Source organism: Homo sapiens, chromosome 19, assembly GCF_000001405.40.
Source record: "Homo sapiens chromosome 19, GRCh38.p14 Primary Assembly".
Lineage (NCBI taxonomy): Eukaryota > Metazoa > Chordata > Mammalia > Primates > Hominidae > Homo > Homo sapiens.
The window spans coordinates 34235357-34249639 of NC_000019.10; the positions used below are offsets into that span (position 1 = coordinate 34235357).

Genomic DNA, 14283 nt, shown 5'->3' on the forward strand with positions numbered 1-14283 from the left:
CCCTGTCTCCAAAAGAAAAAAAGAAAAGTACACATCATAATTACCTATGTAACCGGCACCCAGATTATAAATCAGATTATTAACAGTACCCCAGAAACCCACCAAGCTCCCTTCCAGTAGTCCCCATCCCTTCAAGGCTAACTACAGTCCTGACTTCTGACACCATAGATTACCTTTGGTGTTTTTATATAAATGGAATTACACAGTATATACTCTTGTGTTTGGCCTCTCTACTCAGCATTGTGTTTGGGATTCATCTCTCTTGTTGCATTTGGCCATGGACTGTTCATTTTCATTGCAGTATAATATTCCATTGTGTTAATAGACCACAGTTGCTTCTTTCTACTGTTGATGCCGCATTTGGGTGGTTTCTAGCTTCTGGCTATTAAAATAATGCTGGTACTGTTTTTTCCTTCGGGAGAGAAGCCAGAACTAGAGTGGGTGAGAGGAATGCTGACCTAGCCCTCTTGAGGACTTGGAGCATGGTGAACCATATGGTAGTGCTCTGCTTGTCACTAACCATAAAGTACCATACAACCCTGATGTACAGTAGACATAGATGTAGATAATGGTATATATTAGAGCAGATCCAGAGTCAATCCTCCGTGTGCCTAGCCTCAGTCCCCTAAGGACAGTGCTCCCCCATTGCCCTTACTCACTGGCAGCAGTGGAATATTTCTTGCCCTACAAAACTGTGTTCAGGATGTGGATGCGGTCTCCTTGCTTCCCTGCTGATAAAAACTCCTACCCCAGTGAGGTTATGTGATCCTCTCACTCTCCTGGTGATGACCATTTAATGACCTGATCTCTGCCCATCATATCGTGAGAAGTCTGATACTCATCTTCCTCTTCCTCTCCCCTTCTGTCTTATTCAAAGTGACTTCAGCTGTTGTGTGATCTACCCATCTGTACTGGGGGTCCCCAGGGTAATCGCACGCATGGCTATGACAGTGTACAGTGACAGGATACAGTGACAGGATACAAAGCAAAATTCACAAAGGGAAAAGATGTGTGGGCAAAGTCTGGAGGAAACCAGGCTCAAACTTGCAACGGGGACTTAGAAAGCGGAGCCTCACGGGATGTGCTTAGCTTCTCCAGCAGGGAGTTGCAACAACATGCGTGGGATATTGTCTGCCAGGGAAGCTTCAGACTTAGTTGCCCAGGGTTTTTACTGGGGGCTGATTATGCAGACACCCTCTGCGTGGCACGTGCCAAAATTCCAGGCTCCCAGAAGTAAAGCACAAGCAAACCACATTGTTTACAACAGTCTGGATACAGTGCACCACTCCTACCAGTTCTGGGAATGGCGGGAACCCTCCTGAAATCCAGATGTCAGGCGAGAGCCAAACTTACAAGCAGGCCTTGTAAATGACAGCAGTCAAACCTGCTTCGTTAACTCCTCTGCACACTCGCCCACACCCTGGCTTCCGTCCTTGTCCTGTGACATTTTCCTGTTGTCCCCTCCTACCCAAAGCTGTAGACACACCTGGACCTTGTCCATCAACCTCAACTGCAACCACCTCCAAATCACAGACTTAGACACCCCGCCCTTTGACCTTCCAGCTGTCTTGCTGAAGAAATAGCTAAAAAAAAAAAAAAAAAAACATAAAAAAATTCAGGCCAGGCGCGGTGGCTCACGCCCGTCATCTCAGCAATTTGGGAGGCCAAGGCGGGCAGATCACGAGGTCAGGAGATCGAGACCATCCTGGCCAACATGGTGAAACCTCTGTCTCTACTAAAAATACAAAAATTAGCTGGGCATGGTGGCACATGCCTGTAATCCCAGCTACTGGGGAGGCTGAGGCAGGAGAATCGCTTGAACCCCGGAGGCAGATGTTGCAGTGAGCTGAGATCACGCCACTGCACTCCAGCCTGGCAACAGAGTGAGACTCTCTCTCTCAAAAAATAAATAAATAAATAAATAAATAAAAATTAAAAAGCAGTGACCTAACCCATTCCCTTCCTTAGTAACTGTTTTTAGCCTGGTGCAGAACTCCAGGTCCAGAATCTTTATACTTTCTCCGGCTTCATTAGTTCCCCCGTGCTTTCTCCACCGCCATCTCCAACCATCCTAAACTCCATGACTCACTCTTCATTTATCTTGCAAATACCCTAAACTCCTTTGCTTCTCTTTTGAGAAGCTCCTGCCTAGAGAAACTTCAACCCTAAAAGCATCCATTCATCCACATTGTCAATGTCTTCACCCAGGGGGTTGAGTCCTGAGGACAAGAATCACAGTTGAGCAAATCAATGCCACTGTAAATAATGCTGATTACTACCCTCAACCTTGGCCCTCAACTTTGTATATTTATACCTCAACCAGGTATATTTCTTTGTATATATATACCTCAACCAGGTGTATTTCTGTAATCACTGTGCCCTTAACTTTGCATCAAAACCAGTATATTTCTGTAATCATCTCTCTGCAGTCAGCAAGTGGTCTTACCATCTATTTCAAAGACAGCTGGTGGCTGTTGGATGAAAACAGTTTCAGACGCTTACCACACTCTAAACCAGCCTCATCTGCATCCCAGGCCCTATTAAAAGGAGGTAGGGGCTGGGTGCAGTGGCCCATGCCTGTAATCCCAACACTTCAGGAGGCTGAGGTGGTAGGATTGGATTGCTTGAGGCCAGGAGTTGGAGACCAGCCTGGGCAACATAGCAAGACCTCATCTGTACAAAAAATTTAAAAATTAACTGGGCTTGCTGGCACATACCTGTAGTCCCAGCTTCTTGGGAGGTTGAGGTGGGAGGATCACTTCAACCCCAGAGACTGAGGCTGCAGTGAGCTAGCTATGATTGCCGAGGCAGGTAAATCACTTGAGCCCACGAGTTCGAGATCAGCCGGGGCAACATAGTGAGACCCAGTCTCTAACCAAAAAAGAGAAAGGAGATTATTCTGGGGATCCTATACCTCCCACTCCTGTTTAACTGTCAGGATTCCTGAAGTGAAGGGAGACTTCACTTCTCAAGCCACTTGACCTATTCCACTGAAACAGTTCTTGGTAAGATCACCAACAATCTCCAGTGAGCATTTTTGTTTTGAGACAGGGTCTCACTCTGTCACTCAGGCTGGAATGCAGTGGTGCGAACACAGCTCGTTTCAGCCTCCTGGGCCCAGGCGATCCTCCCATCTCAGCCTCCAGAGTAGCTGGGACTACAGGTGTGCCACCACAACTGGCTAATTTTTTAATTTTTTGTAGAGACATAGTTTTGCCATGTTGCCCAGGCTAGTCTCGAATTCCTGGGCTCAAGTGATCTGCCTGCCTCAACCTCCCAAAGTGCTGAAATTAGCACCCAGCTGTATGTATTATCTTGGTTTTGTTTTTGTTTGTTTACAATTTTTTCCCCTGGAGTTTCTGATTGGCTCTTGGATGTTCTCTGTTACTTGGAATCTATTCCACTCTCCTTGTACTCACCAACTTTCTAGTTTAATTCAGACCATTTCTTCTTTGGACAGTTATTTTCTGTACAGCTTTTGGGTTTTCCTGGAGTTTCTGAATGTTTGTTCTTGCTGGTATTTGTTGCCTTTATCATATTCTCAAGTTTTTCCAACTCCTCACCCATACTATAATTCAGTCTACAAAATCTCCTTTTTTTCATACAGACTGTTCTTCCATAACCTTCCACCATTCTGCTAAGATCCAAACAGGCCAGGCATGGTGGATGATACCAATAATCCCAGTACATTGGGATGCTGAGGCAGGCAGATCGTTTGAGCCCAGGAGTTCGAGACCAGCCTGGGAAACATAGTGAGATCTTGGTGTCTAATAAAAAAGAAAAAAAATTGAAAAAGATAAATAACAAATAAAACCCAAATATATTGCTTCCAGGTGTCAACAAAGTCATGATCCTGAGATTTTGCCATCACTGCTCTCCTGGGCTACAATTAGAGTTGCTGGCACCATGTTTTCCATTCCTTTGTTTACTGGAATTTCTCCTTAGGGAGCTTTCTAGACAGGAAGGTCTCTGTCACATCTTCTTCCTCGTTTCTTTTTTTTTTTTGAGACAGAGTCTCACTCTGTCGCCCAGGCTGGAGTGCAGCGGTGCCGTCTCGGCTCACTGCAGCCTCTGCCTGCCAGCTTCAAGTGATTCTCCTGCCTCAGCCTCCCGAGTAGCTGGGATTACAGGCACCCACCACCACACCTGGCTGATTTTTGTATTTTTAGTAGAGACAGGATTTCACCATGTTGGCCAGGCTGGTCTCGAACTCCTGGCCTCAGGTGATCCGCCTGCCTTGGCCTCACAAAGTGCTGGGATTACAGGCATCAGCCTCTGTGCCCAGCCCCAGCCTTCTTTGCTTATTTAACAACAAAACGTCGAAGCAATTCTTATCTTAGTTGCTGACCCTTGATCTAGCATGCAGTGATGTTAAGTCTAATGCCAATTTGATTTTTTCTTTTCATTGTAGATTACCTGTTTCTTCCTCTGTGGAAACAGCATATTATCCTTTCTGTTAAGAAATGTTATGACTTCTCAAGAGTGTGGGTCTTTTTGTTTCACTCCAGTATTATGCTGGGCAGTTGTTAGGCCCTTTTGATTTAATGGTTTGTGTCTTCCCTTTAGCTTGGGTAATTTTTTTCATACCATCCTCCCTGTACTTTCACTAGAAGTCTCTTTTACTCAGATATAAGAGCTGCCCATTCGGCCGGGCATGGTGGCTGACACCTGTAATCCCAGCACTTTGGGAGGCTGAGGCGGTCGGATCACTCGAGGCCAGGAGTTTGAGACCAGCCAGGCCAACATGGTGAAACCCCATCTCTACTAAACTACAAAAATTACTTGGGCATGGTGGCACATGCCTGTAGTCCCAGCTACTCGGGAGGCTGAGTCAGGAGAATCGTTTGAACGTGGGAGGTGGAGGTTGCAGTGAGCCGAGATCGCACCACTGCACTCCAGCCTGAGCGACAGAGAGAGGCTCCATCTCAAATAAATAAATAAATAAATAAATAAATCCCTGTATCTCTTAGTTTTTTCTGCTATTTTCTTTCCTTTGCTATTGTTCATCTTAGTCTCTTTCCTGTAGTAGGCTTTATTAAAATATCAGTGGATTCTTGGCTGTCTGTCATTAGAAGGAGGCAAACGGGTGCCCTGGAGCTCTCTGTGTGACCAGGATTTGTTAACCAGCAGTGTCAGCTTTAAGGTAGTGATCTTTATTCTTGAGATTTCCGAATTCCAGAGGGCTTTGTTGTAGGATGCCAATCTCTCCAGATCCCACAGATGTCTACAGAGAAGAATCTTCCTTTTTTTTCTTTTAATCCTGATATTTATTTATTTATTTATTTATTTTTGAGACTTGAGTCTCGCTCTAACATCCAGGCTGGAGTGCAGTGGTGCGATCTCAGCTCACTGCAACCTCTGCCTCCGGGTTCAAGCAATTCTCCTGCCTCAGCCTCCTGAGTAGCTGAGATTACAGGCACGCACCACCACACCCAGTTAATTTATCCATTTATAGTAGAGACAGGGTTTCACCATGTTGGCCAGGATGGTCTCAAACTCCTGACCTCAAGTGATCCACCTGCCTCAGCCTCCCAAAGTGTGGGGATTACAGGCATAAGCCACCACACCTGGCCTATTTTTATTTTTTTTTTTTTTGAGATGGAGTCTTGCACTTTCGCCCAGGCTGGAGTGTAGTGGCACGATCTCGGCTCACTGCAAGCTCCGCCTCCCAGGTTCACGCCATTCTCCTGCCTCAGCCTCCCGAGTAGCTGGGACTACAGGCGCCCGCCACCACACCCGGCTAATTTTTGTATTGTAACAGGGTTTCACCATGTTAGCCAAGATGGTCTCGATCTCTTGACCTTGTGATCCGCCCACCTCGGCCTCCCAAAGTGCTGGGATTACAGGCGTGAGCCACCGCGCCCGGCCTATTTTTATTTTTTGAGAGAGAGGGTCTGGCTGTGTCACCCAGGCTGGAGTGCAGTGACACGATCTCGGCTGGCTGCAACCTCTGCCTCCTGGGCTCAAGCCATCCTCCCAACTCAGCCTCCCGAGTAGCTGGGATTACAGGCACACAACACCACGCCCAACTGGTTATTAAATTTTTTTTGTAGAGATGGGGTCTTACCGTGTTGCCTAGGCTGGTCTCATTCTGGTCTCAAGTGATCCACCCACCTCAGCCTCCCAAAGTGCTGGGATTACAGGTGTGAGCCACTACGCCTGGCCCTGTGAGGTATTTTTCAGCAGCTTTCTAGACTGACAAGAGCAGCTGGAAGCATGGCAACCCCAGGCAGAGCATAGCGTGCTGCCGCCTCGACTGTGCTCAAGGGGCGCTAGCGTGCGGGAGGAGCCACCTGCCTGGGCCTCTGGAAGGCTTCTGCCTCTGAGCCAGCAGGTACAACAGGGAACAAGAGTGAGAAGGGGACTTGAAAACAGGAAACCTAATTGAAGGTCTGCACAAGTAGTGAACAAACCTGTTTCTCACTGCTGCAGTCGGCATGGCTTATAATTAAGCAGCATACTGTTACAAAAAACAAACAAAAGAAAGAGTCTTGGCTGGGCGCAGGTGGTTTATGCCTGTAATCCTAGCACTTTGGGAGGTTGAGGCGGGTGGATCACTTGAGGCCAAAGAGTTTGGGACCAGCCTGGGCAACACAGGGAGACCCCATCTCTACAAAAAAAAAAAAAAAAAAAAAAAACAAAACAAAACAAAACAAAAAAAACACTAAAATATTAGCCAGCCATGGTGGCATATGCCTGTGGTCCCAGCTACTCAGGAGGCTGAGGAAGGAGGACTGCTTGTGCACAGAAGGTCAAGGCTGCAGTGAGCTGTGATCATACCATTGCACTATAGCCTGGGCAACACAGTGAGACCCTATCTCAAAAAAATAAGTAAAATTTTAAAAAAAATTAAAAATTAGCCGGGCGTAGTGGCGTGTGCCTCTGGCTCCAGCTACTCAGGAGGCTGAGGCAGGAGGATCCCTTGAGCCCAGGAGGTTAAGGCTGCAGTGAGCCATGATTGTGTCACTGCACTCCAGCCTGGGCAACAGAGCCAGACTCTGTCTCAAAAAATATATAAAAATAAAAAATTATTTTAGAAAGAAAAATACTTGACAGGCTTATTCCTGCCCAATTCAATTTATAACTGTTTATTCATGTGTTGACATCTTAATGCAGTCTTTTTAAATAAAAGCAACTTCATTAAGAAAGTAAAGGAATAAAAGAATGGCTACTCCATAGGCAAAGCAGCCTTTAAGGCAGTCTTTTTTTTTTTTTTTTTTTGAGACGAAGTTTCCCTCTTGTCGCCCAGGCTGGAGTGCAATGGCGCGATCTCGGCTCACTGCAAACTTCGCCCCCCAGATTCAAGTGATTCTCCTGCCTCAGCCTCCCAAGTTGCTGGGATTACAGGCATGCGCCACCATGCCCAGCTAATTTTTTTTTTTTTTTTTTTTGAGACGGAGTTTCGCTTTTGTTGTCCAGGCTGGAGTACAATGGCTTGATCTCAGCTCACTGCAACCTCCGCCTCCTGGGTTCAAGTGATTCTGTTGCCTTAGCCTCCTGAGTAGCTGGGATTACAGGCATGCGCCACCACACCTGGCTAATTTTGTATTTTTAGTAGAGACGGGGTTTCTCCATGTTGGTCAGGCTGGTCTTGAACTCCCGACCTCAGATGACCCGCCTGCCTCGGCCTCCCAAAGTGCTGGGATTACAGGCGCGAGCCACCGTACCCAGCCAGGGCAGTCTTAAAGGCAAAGAAGGTGAACATTTGTGCTTAATTTCCCATCTAGAGTGAGCAAATCTCTCTGCCTCTACCCTGGTTCAAAGCCCCTTCACCTCTTGCGTGGACTATGTTAACCTCCTCATTGGTTATCCTCTCTTCATACTGCATTCTTCTGTGCCATATTCTGTGCAGAGGCCAGAATGCACTTTGGGGAACACAAATCTGATTGTCAAATTCTGTCACATGTCTTAGAGAAGGCATCTAATCTGGATGCCTTAAGAGATGGTGGCCAGGCAGGGTGGCTCAAACCTATAATCCCAGCACTTTGGGAGGCCAAGGCGGGTGGATCACTTGAGGTCAGGAATTCGAGACAGTCTGGCCAACATGGCGAAACCTGTCTCTACCAAAAATACAAAAATTAGTTGGGCGTGATGGCGCATGCCTGTAATCCCAGCTACTCAGGAGGCTGAGGCAGGAGAATCACTTGAACCTGGGAGGCGGAGGTTGCAGTGAGCCCAGATTGTGCCACTGCACTCCAGCCTGTGCGACAGAATGAGACTCTGTCTCAAAACAAAAAAGAAAAAAGAAAAGATGGTGTCCTTCTGGAAGTTGTATTGCCGCAACTATGGTCTGATGGGAATGAGATCATGGTGTCAAACAGACCCATGCTAAGGCAGCCCCCAGGCAGAGACTCCTCTCCCCATGGCCTCAGTACTGGTCTAGAACTCTGAGTCATAGATCTAAAAATAAGTCACAGGGCTGTGAGCTAGCAGGACAGCTGCACACCTCTGGGTCTGTGGCAAGCCAGTGGTCCGCAGTGGGGATGCCCTATGTCCAGCACTGCTGCTGCTCCTTCGTCTAGAGGCCTTCCTTGACCGATAAAGCAAGCAATGCTGGGTAGCCCACACCCCCTATAACTTTGGCCTGGAGGTGTCCCTGGATCAGATGCCTGTCTGAGTCTGGCTTCCAGACTGTCAATGGCTTGCTCTGCAGCTTTCACCAACCCAGGTCACGACTTGTGCTTACAACACCTCTTTGGCCGGGCACGGTGGCTCATGCCTGTAATCCCAACACTTGGGAGGCCTAGGCGGGTGGGTCACTTGAGGTCAGGAGTTCAAGACCAGCCTGATCAACCTGGTGAAATCCTGTCTCTACGAAAAATACAAAAATTAGCCATGCGTGATCAGGTGGCACGCACCTGTAATCCCAGCTACTCGCGAGGCTGAGGCAGGAGAATCACTTGAATCCAGGAGGCGGAGGTTGCAGTGAGCCGAGATCGCACCACTGCACGCCAGGCTGGGGGACAGAGCAAGACTCCGTCTCAAAAAACAAACAAACAAAACACCTCATGTCTGGGCCAGCCTGCTTTCCTCCTCTTTTAGCTGGTACTTGGTTTAAATCTGGAAATCCTGGAGTCTTTGGAATTCCATTGACCTGAGCTGGGTTACTGTCCTGGTGTCTGTCTCTAGCACGGTTGGAAGGTAACTGTTCTTATGAATGGAAAGGAGGTGTTGGTGTCAGATGTGTTTATAGTTGCATTATCTCAACTTGAACTTCGTCTTGTTCTCACCTAACTTGAGGAAGCAAGGAAATTTGGAATTCAAATATTCTAATAATATTTGTTATTAAGTGAGGACATTCAAATCATACATTCAAATATTAGTAATGTCTGTTACAGCAAACTACCAGAAAAGGACAGCAAGCTACAGATGACCTGGCAATGATGAGCCCATAGGGACTGTTAGTGGGAAGGCTGACAGTTCCTGGCACGAGCCCCAGGGTGCCTTCTAGAGCAGGCTAACATCTTCTCACACTTGATCCCGCCCCTGCTCTCCCATGCACAAACGGGGTGTGCAAACAGTCTGTTTAGCTTTTCAAAAATAAAGAGGAGGCCAGGCGCGGTGGCTCATGTCTGTAATTCCAGCACTTTGGGAGGCGCAGGTGGGTGGATCACTTGAGCTCAGGAGTTCAAGACCAGCCTGGCCAATGTGGTGAAAGCCCATCTCTACTAAAAATACAAAAATTAGCTGGGTGTGGTGGTGTGTGCCTGTAATTAGCTGGGATTACAGGTGCGTGCCAGTACTCGGGAGGCTGAGGCAGGAAAATCACTTGAACCCAGGAGGCGGAGATTCCAGTGAGCCGAGATGGCGCCATTGCACTGCAGCCTGGGCAAGAAAGCGAGACTCTCTCAAAAAAAAGAAAGAGGAGCTGTCCAGGCGCAGTGGCTCATACCTGTAATCCCAGCACTTTGGGAGGCTGAGGTGGGTGGATCCCTTGAGATCAGGAGTTCGAGACTAGCCTGGCCAACATGATGAAAACCCATCTCTAAAAATACAAAAATTAGCTGGGCGTGGTGGCATGTGCCTGTAATCCCAGCTACTCAGGAGGCTGAGGCAGCAGAATCTCTTGAACGGGGGAGGCGGAGGTTGCAGTGAGCCAAGATCACACCAGTGCACTCCAGCCTGGGCGACAGAGCAAGACTCCGTCTCAAAAAATAAATAAATAAAATAAAATAAAAATAAAGAGGAGATTAAAATTCTCAGCAAACTAGAAACAGATGGTAACTTTTTTTTTTTTTTTTTTGAGACGGAGTCTTGTTCTGTCACCCAGGCTGGAGTGTAATGACGAAAACATGGCTCACTGCAGCCTCCAACTCCTACACTTAATCAGTCCTCCCACTTCAGCCTCCCAAGTAGCTGGGACCACAGCCGTGTGCCACCATGCCTGGCTAATTTTTGTATTTTTTGTAGAGATGGAGTTTTGCCATGTTGCCCAGGCTGTTCTCACACTCCTGGGCTCAATTGATCCTCCCACCTCAGCTTCCCAAAGTGCTGGGATTACAGGCGTGAGCCACCTTGCCTGCCCTACAATTAAGTAAAATATCAAAATACAGAAACATCATTTGTTTCTGTCTACAAGCAACAAGTAATTAGACAATGAAAAGTCAAAACATTGCCATTTGTAATAGTACCCCACCAAAACAATAAAATACCTAGCAATCTAATGAAAAATGTGCGAAAAATGTGCAAGACTTCTACACTGACAACTGCAAAACACTGTTGGGAAAAGAGCATATCTTCAAGACCTTGGAGTAAGCAGAGAGGACACAAAAAGTGATCATGTCTTTGAGGCTGAGGTAGGAGGATTGCTTGAGCCCAGCAGTTCAAGGCTGCTGTGAGCTATGATTGTGCCACTGCACTCCTACTGGACAACAGAGTGAGACCCTGTCGTAAAAAAAAAAAAAAAAAAAAGTGACTGTCTGCAAACAACCCCATTACCCCCTCCACCACCAAGAGCACTTGGCTGTGAAAACCCCTTTCCTGAAGGCTTTAAGATATTCCCACTGAAACTAACATGTAAAACCCAGCCTAGAAGCCCTGACTTTTATTTCCATAAAGAATGCACAAGCCAACAGTAATAACTTTGGCTACCTAAGAAAATCAGTTCTGGAATCCCCGAGGGGCCCTGTAAGTGGGATGTTCTGATTCTGCAGCTTTTCTGACAATAGGAATGTGAAGCCCTTAGAAAAGCCAGCCGGAGCAAATCTGCTTTTTTTCTCAGCAGGGAGAGCCAGCTCCTGCTGAGATCAGGGTACATTTTCTTTCTTTTTCCTTTTCTTTTTTTCTTTTTTTTTTTTTTTTTGAGACAGAGTCTCACTCTTTCCCCCAGGCTGGAGTGCAATGGCGTGATCTTGACTCACTGCAACCTCCACCTCCCCGGTTCAAGCGATTCTCCTGCTTCAGCCTCCCAAGTAGCTGGGATGACAGGCACCTGCCACCACTCCCAGCTAATTTTTGTATTTTTAATAGAGATGGGGTTTCACCATGTTGGCCAGGCTGGTCTCCAACTCCTGACCTCAGGTGATCCGCCCGCCTCAGCTTCCCAAAGTGCTGGGATTACAGGCGTGAGCCACCAGGCCGGGCCTTCTTTTTTTTTTTTTTTTTTTTTTGAGATGGAATCTCCCTCTGTTGCCCAGGCTGGAGTGCAATGGCGTGATCTCGGCTCACTACAACCTCCACCTCCCAGCTTCAACCTCTTCTCCTGCCTTAGCCTCCCAAGTAGCTGCGATTACAGGCATGTACCACCATGCCTGGCAAATTTTTGTATTTTTAGTAGAGATGGGGTTTCACCATGTTGGTCAGGCTTGTCTTGAACTCCCGACCTCAGGTGATCCGCCTGCCTCAGCCTCCCAAAGTGCTGGGATTACAGGCGTCAGCCACCATGCCCGGCCTAGGGTGCATTTCTTTGGCATCTCTCACAAATGTGGGTCTCGTTCATCCCAGCTCTTGGGTCACAGAGGAGCTCCTGAAGCCTCCTTCCACTCATTTGTCATAGGCACCAACCTCAGAGACGCTCATGTTTTTCACGGGACCCGGCTCTAACTCTGCCTCTATCCAGATGCACAGGGGGCCAGATGCATTCCGGAGTGACCCCTGTTTCCTGGTCTTGACCTTCTTGGCCTCCTAAACAGCAAATTACAGGTATAGGTCTGGTGGTCTCTAAGGCACCATCTCATGCCTGTGTGGATGCTGAGGGTCCAGTTCACAGACCTTTCTGCAGAGCTGGAAGGCCGTAGCTACCATTCCTGAAGATGAGGGCCTGGCCTCCATCTTTAGACCTGTGGGCTCCATCCCTTTTTCTCTTTTCTCTTCCCTTCTCTTTTTTCTCTTCTTTTCCTTCTTTTCTTTTCTTTCTCTTTTCTTTTCTTCTTTTTTTTTTTTGAGACAAGGTCTGACTCTATTGCCCAGGCTGTAGTGCGCAGTGGCGCAATCTCAGCTCACTGCAACCTCTCACTCCTGGGCTCAAGCGATCCTCCCACCTCAGCCTCCCAAGTAGCTGGGACTACAGGTACATGCCACCATGCCAGGCTAATTTTTGTTATTTATTATTATTATTATTTTTTGACACGGAGTCTTGCTCTGTTGCCCAGGCTGGAGTGCAATGGTGCGATCTTGGCTCACTGCAACCTCTGCCTCCTGGGTTCAAGCGATTCTCCTGCCTCAGCCTCCCAAGTAGCTGGGACTACAGGCATGAGCCACCATGCCCAGCTAATTTTTTTGTATTTTTAATAGAGACAGGGTTTCACCATGTTGGCCAGGCTGGTCTCAAACTCCTGACAATTGTGATCTGCCCACCTCAGCCTCCCAGAGTGCTGGGATTACAGGCATGAGCCACCGCACCTGGCCTAATTTTTGTGTTTTTTGTAGAGACAGGGTTTTACCATGTTGCCCAGGCTGGTCTTGAACTAGTGAGCTCAAACAATCCTCCCACCTCGGCCTCCCAAAGTGCTGGGATTATAGGCGTGAGCCACAGCATCTGGCCTCCATCTTTTTTTCTCAACACTTTGGTGCAAGGAACTTGAAATAAAGAGGTGGCATGACATGACGAGTGCCTCAAACCTGTGTAGTGGGTACATTTTTTTCCCTCCTTCTCCATATGTATGTGTATTTGATGAATTAAAATAAATAATTTGAACCTGCAGGGCATGGGTATAATATCTGCAGATGGACTCACAAAACAGAAGGTGATATGTCCACAATACAAAATGCTCTCAGGTAAGCTTGAGAGGTTCAAGGCCATCTGGTCCCCAAAGCACCACAAAGGCCACCAAAAGGGCCCCAAGGTTGACAATGTTCACACTGATCTCAGAACTGCATATATAGCTGAGTGGTTCTCCATGACTCCTGGCCCACGGAAGGGGCCAAAATGGTGTGAGCATAAGCGGTTTCTGGCACATTACTCTGGGGCCATGAGGTTCGGGGTAAAGTGAGCCGCAGCTTTTACATGTTAGTTTCAGTGGGAATGTCTGAAAGAAGAGCCTTCAGGAAAGGGGTTTTCATAGTCAAGTGCTCCTGGTGGTAGAGTGGGCAATGGGGTTGTTTGCAGAGAGTCACTTTTTTTTTTTTTTGAGACAGGATCTCACTCTGTTCCCCAGCAGGAGTGCAGTGGCACAATCATAGCTCACAGCAGCCTTGAACTGCCGGGCTCAAGTCATCCTCCTCCCTCAGCCTCCCCAGTAACTGGGACTACAAGTGGGCGCCACCATGCCCAGCTAATTTTTGAAATTTTTTGTAGAGCTGGAGTCTCACTTTGTTGCCCAGGTTGGTCTTCAACTCCTAGCCTCAAGTGATCCTCTCACCTCAGCCTCCCAAAGTGCTGGAATTACAAGTGTGAGTCACCGCACTCCCCTGGGAGCAAATTTTAGCTTTCCTGGTCTCCCTTGTGCAGGATGTGAAAGCTGTGAGATAGGCTGTAAGCCCCAGGAAGGGTAGCTGCATTCCAGAGTCTGCAGGATTTGGGAACAGGCGTGGACATGGCTGGCCAGACACACGTGGGCAGGTGTGTCAGAGTCTGCCCCATGGGGAAAGGGCCAATTTAACATCTCATTTGTGACTGGTTGCGGTGGCTCACGCCTGTAATCTCACCACTTTGAGAGACCGGGCTGGCAGACCACTTGAGCTCAGGAGTTCAAGACTAGCCTTGGCAACATGGCGAAATCCTGTCTCTACAAAAAATACAAAAACTAGCCTGGCGTGGTGGTGCATGCCCATAGTCCCAGCTACTTTGGAGGCCGAGGTGAGAGGATGGCTTGAGCTCAGGAGGTGGAGGTTGCAGTGAGCCAA

General features: G+C 47.7%; 2 annotated features.

Moving 5' to 3' along the window:
* Nucleotides 675-875: a silencer, noted in NCBI's record as "peak3441 fragment used in MPRA reporter construct". NCBI's record gives its function as "represses an SCP1 promoter by STARR-seq MPRAs in K562 erythroleukemia cells {active_cell/tissue: K562}" and the evidence as "EXISTENCE:reporter gene assay evidence [ECO:0000049][PMID:32103011]".
* Nucleotides 2512-3084: an enhancer, noted in NCBI's record as "NANOG-H3K27ac hESC enhancer chr19:34728773-34729345 (GRCh37/hg19 assembly coordinates)". NCBI's record gives its function as "activates a minimal SCP1, AML or CMV promoter by ChIP-STARR-seq in primed H9 embryonic stem cells {active_cell/tissue: H9 hESC(primed)}" and the evidence as "EXISTENCE:reporter gene assay evidence [ECO:0000049][PMID:30033119]".